The sequence below is a fragment of the Homo sapiens genome, chromosome 17 (genome assembly GCF_000001405.40).
Source record: "Homo sapiens chromosome 17, GRCh38.p14 Primary Assembly".
NCBI classification, from domain to species: Eukaryota; Metazoa; Chordata; class Mammalia; order Primates; family Hominidae; genus Homo; species Homo sapiens.
Window position 1 is genome coordinate 78,583,119 of NC_000017.11, and position 11,890 is coordinate 78,595,008.

Genomic DNA, 11,890 nt, shown 5'->3' on the forward strand with positions numbered 1-11,890 from the left:
ACGCTGTCTCAAAAAGAGAATGGCCTGGAACATATATTTCTACTTTCCCATTCTTTCTCTCCACACCACCACTCCCATGTGGCTTCCTCCCTGCCCACTGCACCAACCCTGGGAAGCCAGAAGAACTGAACTGGAGGGAAGAGATGTAACCTGAATGCCTTAACCCAGAGGCTGCTCATAGCTCGTTGGCTCACCCCATATTGGTCACGCCAGGTCACATGGTCACATCTCACTGCACAGGAGGCTGGGAAATGTAGTCTTTGGCTGTGATGTGGTTTGGATGCTTGTCTCCTCGAAATTTCATGTTGAAATGTGATCCCCCATGTTGGAGGTGGGGCCTAGTGCAAGGTATTGGGTCATGGGGGCAGATTCCTCATGAATGGTTTGGTACCCTCCATGCAGTAATGAGTGCCTTCTTGCTCTGTGAGTTCATGTGAGATCCAGTTGTTTAAAAGAACTTGGAACTCTGGCTGGGCGTGGTGGCTCATGCCTGTAATCCCAGCATGTTGGGAGGTCGAGATGGGTGGATTGCTTGAGGCCAGGAGTTCAAGACCAGCCTAGCCAACACAGTGAAACCCCATCACTACTAAAAATACAAAAATTAGCCAGGCATGGTGGCTCATGGCTGTAGTCCTAGCTACTAGGGAGGGTAAGTCATGAGAATTGCTGGAACCCAGGAGGCAGAGGTTGCAGTGAGTCAAGATCACGCCACTGCACTCCAGCCTGGGTGACAGAGTGAGACTCCGTCTCAAAAAAATTAAAAAAAATAAAAGATAAAATAAAATCCTGAAACTCCTTCCTTACTCTCTCACTCCTTCTCTTGCCATGTTCTTACCATGTGATACTCCAGCTCCCCCTTCATCTCCCATCATGATTGGAAGCTTCCTGAAGCCTCCCAGAAGTTGAGCAGATGCCAGTGCCATGCTTGTGCAAGCCTGCAGAACTGTGAGCCAAATAATAGACCTCTTTCCTTTATAAATTACCCAGTCTTAGGTATTCCTTTATAGCAATGCAAAATGGACTAACACAGGCTGGCATCCAGCTGTCCACCCTAGACTTGGAGAGTTGTGTTACTAAATGGACCAAGAGAGTCCATGGAAGGATTGTCCACAGCCAATCTCCACCACACTCGCCTAGATTCATCCTGAGCTCAAAGAAACTCCTTGGAAGCCTCATGGGACCCTCAAAACTCAACATGTACAAAACCGACCTCTGCCCATGCCCCCCCCCCACCCTGCCATCCCCACACTCCTGGTCGTCTTTCAGGTTCCCTGGCTCCGTGAGTGACCCACAGCTGCTCAGGCACCCAGAGGACCCTCGCCCTCACTGTGGTACCATTCAGTCTTACCTCCTCAATCTCTCTGAGCTCTGTCCACCTCTTTCCACAGCTAATCCTCCTGGTCTAAGCCACTCTCACCCTCCCCAGGCCTATGGATACCCTCATTCCTTTCTTAACAACTTCTTTTGTCCCCATATAGCCCATTCTCCAGCATCTTTAAAAAGACAACTCTCAGGCCAGGTGCCATGTCTCACACCTGTAATTCCAACACTTTGGGAGGCCAAGGCAGGCGGATCACTTGAGGCCAGGAGTTCCAGACCAGTCTGGCCAACATGGCAAAACCCCATCTCTACTAAACAAAAATACAAAAATTAGCCAGGCATGGTGGCAGGCGCCTGTAGTCCCAGCTACTGGGGAGGCTGAGGCAGGAGAATGGCTTGAACCCAGGAGGTGGAGGTTGCAGTGAGCTGAGATTGTGCCACTGCACTCCAGTCTGGGCAACACAGACTCGGTCTCAGAATATAAAACATTTTAATTAAAAAAACAGAAAAAGACAACTCTCAATGCCTTGCTTAAAACCCATGAACTATTGCTCCTAGGATACAATTCAAATGCCCTCCATGGGCCCTGTAAGATTTGATCCCTGCCTTGCCCACTCTCCTGGGGTCCAATCCTGGCTCGTGCTATAGTCACATTGGTCTCTTTCAGGTCCTCCAAGACATCTGCCAACCATAGGGTCCTCCTGCCTGGCCAAGAATCCTATGCACGCGCACACACACACGTATACATATGCAGACATATGCACGCACACCCATGCATGCATGTACACACACCCCTACCAGCTCCTACTCAGCCCTGAGAGCCCAGCTTCAGTATCATTCCTTACTGTCTCCCGTCAATCTCCCCAGTAGGCTCTTTTTATCATAGCTCCTTGTGTTCCTGTGTGGCACCCATTCCAGCTGCAGTGAGCCAATCACCTAAGCACTCATGGGTTACCTCACTGCCGCCTCTCACACCTAGGGCCACCCCTTCTGATCAGCACCATCACTCTGGAATCTGACACTGTGTCTGGCCCACAGCCAGCCTTTGATAAACATCACTGAAGGGACAGCAGCTCTGGGAAGCCCTGTTGCAAAGACTCATCTAACCTCACCTTACCCAGTGATCCCCAAACTTGCTTGGCCGTGGAAGCCTTCTTTCCTTTCAGTTTGTGTTTGGTTGTTTTTTGTTTGTTGTTTATGTTTGTGTGTGTGCGTGTGCGTGTGTGTGTTTTGTGTGATGGAATCTCCCTCTGTCACCCAGGCTGGAGTGCAATGATGTGATCTCTGCTCACTGCAACCCCCAGGTTCAAGCGATTCTCCTGCCTCAGCCTCCAGAGTAGCTGGGATTGCAGGCATGTGCCACCACATCTGGCTAATCTTTGTATTTTTAGTAGAGACAGGGTTTCACTATGTTGGCCAGGCTGGTCTCAAACTCTTGACCCCAAGTGATCCACCCACCTCAGCCTCCCAAAGTGCTGGGGTTACAGGCATGAGCCACTGCACCTGTCCTGCTAAATCAAGTTTATCCTAAAGCTGCCTTCTTACATATTTTAAGTTTGGTCTAAAGGTTTCTCTGTATGTAGTGAGCTATAACCTAAATAGAGTCATAAACAGACTGTAACCTACTCTTGTGCCAGTCACAGGGTTTTGGCCAATCAAAGATGGCCGACTGTTCAAACCACGTTCAAGTCCAACATGGAGCTGTAACCAATCCTGCTGGTCTGTGCTTCACTTCCATTTTCTACATATCACTTTTCCTTCTTCTGTCCATAAATCGTCCACCACGTGGCTGCCCTGGAGTCTGAGCTTACTCTGGCTTGGGAAGCTGCCCGATTTGCAAATTGGTCTTTGCCCAATTAAACGGTTACATTTAATTTGTCTAAGGTTTTTAACACCTGAAGCCTTATCACTACTCTGAGGAACAGTTTGAAGAACACTAGACCAAGGTCTCAGTGGGTCCAGCTCCCACCGGAGCTGTGCTTCTCTGGGGTCTCCGAGTTCAAGGGCTCCATGACAGATGCAGGAGGCAGATAAGCGGGAGGTCCCCAGAGAATCTCCAACCTGCGCACTGGTTGGACCGGGTGGAGCCACTGGAGGTTCTCGCTGTTTGCATGGGGGAGGTAAGCCTGGCCTCTTTAGTCCCTGGATGTGTGGCCCGGAATCAATCTATGAGGTGGGGGGCCTGTTAGCGCGGCTCCCTCTCACTTTGCTGGGAGTTTTTTATTTTTCATTTTTGCCCAGTAAATTCCGTTCCCCTCCTGCTTCAGTGTGTCTGCGTGCCTAATTTTTCCTGGTCGTGTGACAAAAGCCTGGTTTTAGCTGAATGAAGGAGCTAAGTTCTGCAACACCAAGACTGGGACATCTGTTGGTGACGTGGTGACCTGAAGGGAGTTGGGGATGTGGCCCCTTGAGCCTCAAACTGCAGCACTAGGGCTCTGCTGGGCATTGCAGGAGGCTTGAGGGATGTGGAGAAACAGCTTCCAGCTGCCCCGACATCACACCTGAGGACCTTGTGCAAAGAAGATAGAGAAGGACCCTCACTTTCCAGGAGCACAGCCAGCTTTTTGGGGTGGATGCACCATGCTGTCCACGGTGCAGCAGAAACATCAGGCCCTCAGGAAGTGGCGAGAGCAGTGGGGACAGAGTATGACAGGCAGGGGACAGAGGAGTATGACAGGCAGGGGACAGAGGAGTATGACAGGCAGGGGACAGAGGAGTATGACAGGCAGGGGACAGAGGAGTATGACAGGCAGGGGACAGAGTATGACAGGCAGGGGACAGAGTATGACAGGCAGATAAATCTTGGGAACCCCAAACTCGCTAAGCCAAAGGGAAAAGTCAAGCTGGGAACTGGACCATGCGCTCCCATTTTTGTTCCTAAGTGAGACAGCTACAAGACAAGGCCACACACCTCCCTCACATTGCGCCCACAAGGAAATTCCCCTTTAAATACTGAAGCCCTCAAAATCATCAGAGAAAGGCATCAACTTGCCTCCCAAGCACGTGTCCTTAACTTTTGCAGATAAACCTCCTGAAATGATTTCATTTTCCTCAATTGGCAGGAGCTCGCTGTGTTTCTCTTCCTGACTGGGCGTTGGATTGGTGTGTGTGGGGTTGTCTGGCTTCAGTCCTCACTGCCAGGGCCACCAGCCAAGGGCCCCCTTCACTCATTTTTTTGAGTGAAATTTCTTGTGGGCCCCAAGATCTTTACCCTAAAGGGTTTCTGTTAAATTTCACCATGGCAATGTCAATTGATAGCTTACCTTCACAGGTGTCGGGGAGACACTGCACTGACTGAGACATCCCTCTGCCCACCTGAGGCAAGTGCATAGCTGATTGCTTCCTCTGCCCCATTGTCTACGTTATCTTAGGTAACAATGCAGATTCACCAAGCCAGACAAAGGCATGAATGACTATTTTCCCCTACCTCCCTCTCACATGAAAACTGTGTATTTCTGGCTGGGCACAGTGGCTTACACCTGTAATCCCAGCACTTTGGGAGGCCGAGGCAGGTGGATCACTTGAGGTCAGGAGTTCCAGACCAGCTTGGCTAACATGGTAAAACCCCGTCTCCACTATGACTACAAAAAAATTAGCTGAGCATGATGATGTACACCTGTAGTCCCAGCTACTAGGGAGGGTGAGGCAGGAGAATCACTTGAACCCAGGAGATGGGGGTTGTGGTGAGCTGAGATTGCACCACTGCACTCCAGCCTGGGCAACAGAGTAAAACTCCATCTCCCAAAAAAAAAAAAAAAGAAGAGAAAGAAAATTGTATTTCTCAATAGCCTGCCCTTTTCCCTTTAAATATTGAAGCCCTCAAAATCATCTTCAGAGAAAAGCATAGACCTGCCTCCCAGGCATATGTCCTTAATTTTGGCAAATAAACCTCCTGAAATGATTGAGACTCACCTGGCTCATTTTCCTTGATTGACAGGCACTTGCCTCATGTTTCTCTTCCTGGCTGGGTGTTGGATTGGGGGCAGGGGAGTGGGTGTCTGGCTTCAGTCCTCCCTGCCAGGGCCACCAGCCGAGGATGCCCTTCACTCTTTTTTTGCTTCTGTCAGTCACAGCCCACATCGAGGTAGGGCCGGGATGAGCTGAGAGAACTCAGTCATCCCCAGGGGCAACACTTCCTCCCAGCTGAATGAACTTGGAAGGCAAATTTCATGAAGACATTACCCATCATTAAAGAAAATCGCAGGTCCCTTTCCCGCTGCCGGGGATGCTTGCAGACAGGAGAGGCCGGGCCGTCTGTGTTTCATCAGGCTCCCCACCTCCCTCTGTCTACTGGGGCCCTGCCGCGTGTCCTCCTGCTGCGTTCCCAGCAGAGGAACAGGAGGTGGCCTTTGTCCTCCTGCCCAGGCGCGTCCTTACCCTTGAAGTTGGGTGGAAAGGGAGGGCTGGGCCTGAGCAGTCAGGCTGGCCAGGTAGACCACCCTTCCCTTCAGGGGCAGGACACCGCGGCCAGAGAAGTCCCTGCCAGCCAGGTTTCCAAAGGTCACAGCAAGGGTACACGCTGTGGAGACCTGGGAACCTTTTCTCTTTAGGAGTCTCTGCACACAGGTCCTAAGGGTGAGGCCCCCAACAAAGCACAGAAATGCATGGATTCCAAGCCATCCAGGCTGGGAAACAGTGTGGGGTCTCTGGAGGAGTTTGCCTCCGCCCACACAGGGAGACGTACCTGGGGCACAGGCAGTGGTCACAGACACACCTCATGTAGACTCAAAGAGATAGGGACAGACCATATACGGGATGTTGCAACCGGGGAAAGAGCCGAACTTGATCCCAACACCACCCTGCAGATGGGGACTTACAGCCATGAGCAGCGAGGGGTCAGTGGATGGAAAATTGCTAAGAGGAGAACTTCAAGTGGGGGTTCTTGCTAAAGGCAGACCAAGGACCTGGATATGGCCGGGGGAAAGCAGAGGTGCTGAGGAACTCGATCAGATTTCAAGGGTTGGGGTGACTCAGTAGGATTCTCTGCTGAGACTGGCGTGGGCAGGCTGAGGACCGGGCTCGAGAACGGAGGCCTTATCAAAAGAGGGTTCAGTGGGCCAGGCACAGTGGCTCACGCCTGTAATCCCAGCACTTTGGAAGGCCGAGGCGGGTGGATTGCCTGAGGTCAGAAGTTTGAGACCAGCCTGGCCAACATGGTGAAACCCCGTCCCTACTAAAATACAAAAATTAGCCAGGCGTGGTGGCAGGCGCCTGTAATCCCAGCCACTTGGGAGGCTGAGGCAGGAGAATCGCTTGAACCAGAGAGGCAGAGGTTGCAGTGAGCCGAGATCGCACCACTGCACTCCAGCCTAGGTGATAGAGTGAGATTCTGTCTCAAAAAAAAAAAAAAAGAGGGCTCAGCAGAGTCTGCCTGAAGTTGGGTCAAGGAGGGAGCCTTTTGTCAGGCCTCAGCATAATAAGGGGGTTCTGAATCTGGGGGAGGAGGAAAGGTAGATTCTCAGGACTCCAGGCAGGGCGCGTCCCTCCCCTGGGGCGTGGTCTGGCTCCTGGGGGCTGGTGTCTGTTCTCAGCCCTCAGTAGGAACCCTTCCACTTCACATGGGCTGCCTGTGATGTCAGCATCGCCAAGCCCTGTCCCTCCTGCCATCTCCCCATCCGCACATTCTGTGTCCACCGCAAGCACCTTCAGGTGGCATCGGTCCATCTGACGCGTGCTGAGAAGGCAGTCCGGCCCGCAGGCATGGGGCCGCCCCTCCCTGCCCTTCCTCTCTGCTCGGTCATGCTGTGATTATGCTGAGAACTGACAGCACCTGCAACCTGCATTTTTATTAATTAGATAACACAAGTCTTCTATAATTTTCATTTTTATTCCCCACCCCCCCCCACCGCCACTCCACTTAGAGCGGAGGTTCTCAGAGTGGGGCCCCTGGGCCAACAGCCTCTGCATCAGCTGGATTCTCGTTGGGATCACAGAGCCCGGGGCCACCCCAGATTGTGGGGCAGCAATCTGTATTTCACAAGCCCCCAATGGACTCTGATGCAGGCTAAGGTTTGAGAGTCACTGATTTAGAGTAAAATTTTGGTTTCTGTTTTAAGCAAATTCACTGAAAGTAGCCAGTTATCCTTGTTAAAAAGGCTTTCAGTGTTTCCCTATTTTAGGGGTCTTGCTGTCTGCCCAGGCTGGAGTGCAGTGGCACAATCATACCTCGCTGCAATCTTGACATCTGGGGCTCAAACCAACCTCCCACCTCAGCTCCTGAGTAGCTGGGACTACAGGGGCACACAACCATGCCTGGCTTTTTTTATTTTTTAATTTTTTGAAAGAAAGGGTATTTCTATATTGCCCAGGCTGGCCTTGACTCAAGCAATCCTCCCATCTCAGCTTCCCGAGTAGCTGAGACTACAGGCCCTTGCCACCACGCCTGGCTAATTTTATTTTTTGTAGAGACAAAAAAGTAAGACTCACGTTGTTGCCCAGGCTGGTCTCAAGCTCCTGGTCTCAGACAATCCTCCTGTCTCGGCCTCCCGAAGTTCTCGGCGCGCAGGTATGAACCCCCACGCCCAGCCTTCCCTGCTTTATGGTCATTCACACCTGAGGCCTGAGTTGCCTTCAACAAGCCCCACGGGTTACCTGAGTGGCAGGTGTAACTTAAGGCTGAGGTTCTCTGCTTAGCCACGGGCAGAATCACCTGGGACGCTTTGAGAATTAAGGGCACTGGAGGGTCGGGGCCAAGCGTGGAGGCTTTCAAAGCACCTGTTTGGGTCCAAGTACACACAGGGCGGGGAATCTTTGCTCCATGGGTCCACGCTCCTCAGAAGTGACCCTTGCTGCTCTGGGTCTATTTCAGCAGAACCATCACCAACCAAACAAATGAGAAATCAGGGCGGATTGGACTCAGAGACAAATGCTTTCCGGTGAGCAGCCAGGCGCACAGCAGAACGATAGAGGAGCGCTCAGAACTCGGGAGTACCTGTCACCTCTGCCATGGTGGCTGGGCTCGCTCACGGTGACTGTTTCCCTAGCAGGAGAGACCCTGGCTGTGACCCTGCAGCCTGTGCCTCCTGCTGCTGCAGGGAGAGAGGGAGTGCCCGGCGCCTACCTGGGCTTTTCCGGGCCGTCCGTCCGCTCATCATGCCCCTTGCCCCAGCTCACTTCACATCTTCGCTGGGTGGGGATTCAAGGACAGGCTGGGCTCTAGGAGGTCAATGGTCCCTCCCCGGGCTTCCAGCATGTTGTAGCTCAACTTCTACCAGACATCTGGAAATACCAAATTTCTTTCCTTAAAGGGACAAAGACCCCTTTTCTTTGGAATATATATATATATATATATATATATATATTTTATTTATTTATTTTTTTTGAGACAGAGTTTCACTCTTGTGCAGGCTGGAGTGCAATGGTACAATCTCGGCTCACTGCAATCTCCGCCTGCCGGGTTCAGGTGATTCTCCTGCCTCAGCCTCCAGAGTAACTGGAATTACAGGTGTGCACCACCACACCCAGCTAATTTTGTATTTTTTGTAGAGACGGGGGGGGGGTTTCACCATGTTGGCCAGGCTGGTCTCGAACTCCTGACCTCAGGTAATCCACCTGCCTTGGCCTCCCAAAGTGCTGGGATTACAGGCGTGAGCCACTGTGCCCGGCCCTGGAATATATTTTTTTAAACCCTAAACTGTATTATAGAATAATCTCTTCCTCAGTGACTTGGTTTATAATATATTGGGAAAAAAAAAACTCTATGATGAAAATCAAGTGCTGTAAGTTAAATATCTGAGTCCAAATGATGTCAAAAAGCGGCAAGGCACTGGGCTTCCCCCATTCAGAGAGCACCCTCCCCTTCCTGCCCCGCGCTTCTGTTGACCTTTGGTCCTGTTTGCAGGAAGCTCTCAAGTTTAACTCTGAACTTGAAGGGAAGGAAGGGAGTGAACCACATGGCCCTGGGGTCGGGGCCTCTGGCCGAAGGGCGCTCAGCTTGGTCTGTAAAATGAAATGTGTTTTGAATGTCATGAGTCAGGAAAAAAGAATTTGAGCGCAGTCTGGAAATGAAATTTCCTGCCTGTGGTTTGACTCACGTCTGTCTGTCTCGAAATCTACCCCAAGGACATTTATTCCACTGTGACAGGGCTCATCTCTGAGGAGCACCAGACTCCTGCGGTGGGGAGGGAAGATTATCCGCGCTGCAGAGACTAGCTGGCCTCCGGAAGCCGCCTCCTGACCCCGCGTCAAGCACCGCGGTGGATGGCGCAACCCAGCTTTGGGAATTAATTACCCAAGGCGCGTTTCCGTGCAGTCTGGCCTCCCTCCCTGAAGGCTTCTTAAGCAATAGGGAACTAGGAGGAGTTGAGACCAGCCTGGCAAACGTGGTGAAACCCCATCTCTATTAAAAATACAGATGGGGGCAGGGCGCGGTGGCTCACGCCTGTAATCCCAGCACTTTGGGAGGCCGAGGCAGGTGGATCACTTGAGGTCAGGAGCTTGAGACCAGCCTGGCCAACATGGTGAAACCCCGTCTCTACTAAGAATACAAAAATTAGCCGGGCGTGCATGCGCCTGTAATCCCAGCTACTGGGGAGGCTGAGGCAGGAGAATCGCTTGAACCCAGGAGGCGGAGATTGCAGTGAGCTGAGATCACACCACTGCACTCCAGCCTGGGTGACAGAGGGAGACTCTCTCTCAAAAAAAAAAAAAAAAAAAAAAAATTATAGATGGGAACGAGGAATCGCAACAGTCCTTACTGCCTTTCTTGTCTTGCCTGGCTAGTGCTAAAGTATGTTGAGGAAGGAAAAAAATTATTTTTTACGATTTCAAAGTTAGTTTTATTTAGAAGTTTTATTGAGGACTAGAGACCGACCACAGCCTGGGAGAAGTCTTTTAGAGGGGGTTTGTCGGACTGTTTTGAAATAGTGTTTTAATTTACAGTTTATATACAGGTAGTGGGGGTTTAGTAGGTGTAAAATTATATTAAAGCTTGGGTATAAGAGTATATCTGGTTGTAGATTATAGAATAATTATTAAAAATGAAAAATAAAATCCTGAGCCTCACCACCAACTGAATGAACCCCCTCTTGGCCAAGTTGACCACATAGTCACCTGAAAAATTGAATTCCCAGCCCGATCTCCCAGGGAGGTGAGGCATACCTGCTTATATCCCCTCTCTCTCTTTCTCTTTGTTTTTTTTGTTTCTGTTTTTTTTTTTTTTTTTTTTTTTGAGACGGAGTCTCGCTCTGTTGCCCAGGCTGGAGTACAGTGGCGCGATCTTGGCTCACTGCACCCTCCACCTCACAGGTTCAAGCGATTCTCCTGCCTCAGCCTCCTGAGTAGCTGGGATTACAGGCGCCCTCCACCACACCTGGCTACTTTTTTGTATTTTTAGTAGAGACGGGGTTTCACCATGTTAGTCAGGATGGTCTCTATCCCCTCTCTTTTGGAGTTTAGGCACAGATGACCAGCACTAAGGTTAGAAAAGAGATCAGAAGTCTGGCAGAAGAGACTCCTGTGGCAATGAGATACCATGTTCCAACTTGGCCCTGGTGTAGTATCACATGACAGATGGCAGACCCTGAAGGAAATCAAAATATTTTACCCCACAATATATTTTTTTCTTTTTTTTGGAGACAGGGTCTCGCTCTGTTGCCCAAGCTGGAGTGCAGTGGCACATCTCAGCTCACTGCAACCTCCGCCTCCTGGGTTCAGATGATTCTCCTGCCTCAGCCTCTCGAGTAGTTGGGATGACAGGCGCCCACCACCACACCCAGCTAATTTTTGTATTTTTAGTAGAGACGGGGTTTCACCATGTTGGCCAGGCTTGTCTCGAACTCCTGACCTCAGATGATCCGCCCGCCTAGGCCTCCCAAGGTGCTGGGATTACTGGCGTGACATATGTTGAAACGGCCCTACAAAGCTGTCTTTTGTGAGGGAAATTTGCATTCTGTAGAAAAGCACCATTAATGCAGCCAGGTCTTTCCCAGATCTAGGAAATACTAAGAGTCTGACACGTTTAAGGTCTGAAAAGAGACATTGACCACCTATTTCCTCTGAAGGCTGTTACCTGGAGATTTCATCTATACAACAAGAACCTTGGTCTCCACAACCCCCCTTATCTTAACTCAAGCATTTCTTTCTACTGACCTCAAGACTTTAGCCAAAGCTTAACTCTTTCAACCAATTGCCAATTGGAAAATCTTTGAATCTTCCTGTGACCTGTAAGCCCTCCAACTCCCACTTCAAGGTATCCCACCACTTTAGGCTGAACCAATGTATACGCTCCATGTACTGATTTATGTCTTTGCCTGTAACTTTGGTCTCCCTAAAATGCACTGTAAACCAAAAATACAATTCTAAGCTCCCCCATCATCTGAATGGACCTCTCCTCTTGGCCAAGGGCTTTCCAAAGTCAACCTGAAAAACAGTTCAACACTTTAAACATTTTAGCAAAACTATTACTTCGTTATGTTCCAAATTATTCCATTCAATTCAGAAGATATTTTCTGAGAGTGCCTATTACACGGAAAAGGTAATCACAGAATCTGTTACACAAACTGGGATACCTTTTTTTTAAGAGACAGAGTCTCGCTATGTTGCCTAGGCTGGTCTGGAACTCCAGCCTAGA

At 50.4% G+C, this 11,890-nt stretch overlaps 3 annotated features.

Annotated features, from left to right (window-relative positions):
• Positions 4,008-4,169: a silencer, noted in NCBI's record as "fragment chr17:76583208-76583369 (GRCh37/hg19 assembly coordinates)". NCBI's record gives its function as "represses an EF-1alpha promoter that drives an FKBP-Casp9 reporter gene in an ReSE screen in K562 erythroleukemia cells {active_cell/tissue: K562}" and the evidence as "EXISTENCE:reporter gene assay evidence [ECO:0000049][PMID:32094911]".
• Positions 5,170-5,682: an enhancer, noted in NCBI's record as "H3K4me1 hESC enhancer chr17:76584370-76584882 (GRCh37/hg19 assembly coordinates)". NCBI's record gives its function as "activates a minimal SCP1, AML or CMV promoter by ChIP-STARR-seq in naive H9 embryonic stem cells {active_cell/tissue: H9 hESC(naive)}" and the evidence as "EXISTENCE:reporter gene assay evidence [ECO:0000049][PMID:30033119]".
• Positions 5,683-6,195: an enhancer, noted in NCBI's record as "H3K4me1 hESC enhancer chr17:76584883-76585395 (GRCh37/hg19 assembly coordinates)". NCBI's record gives its function as "activates a minimal SCP1, AML or CMV promoter by ChIP-STARR-seq in naive H9 embryonic stem cells {active_cell/tissue: H9 hESC(naive)}" and the evidence as "EXISTENCE:reporter gene assay evidence [ECO:0000049][PMID:30033119]".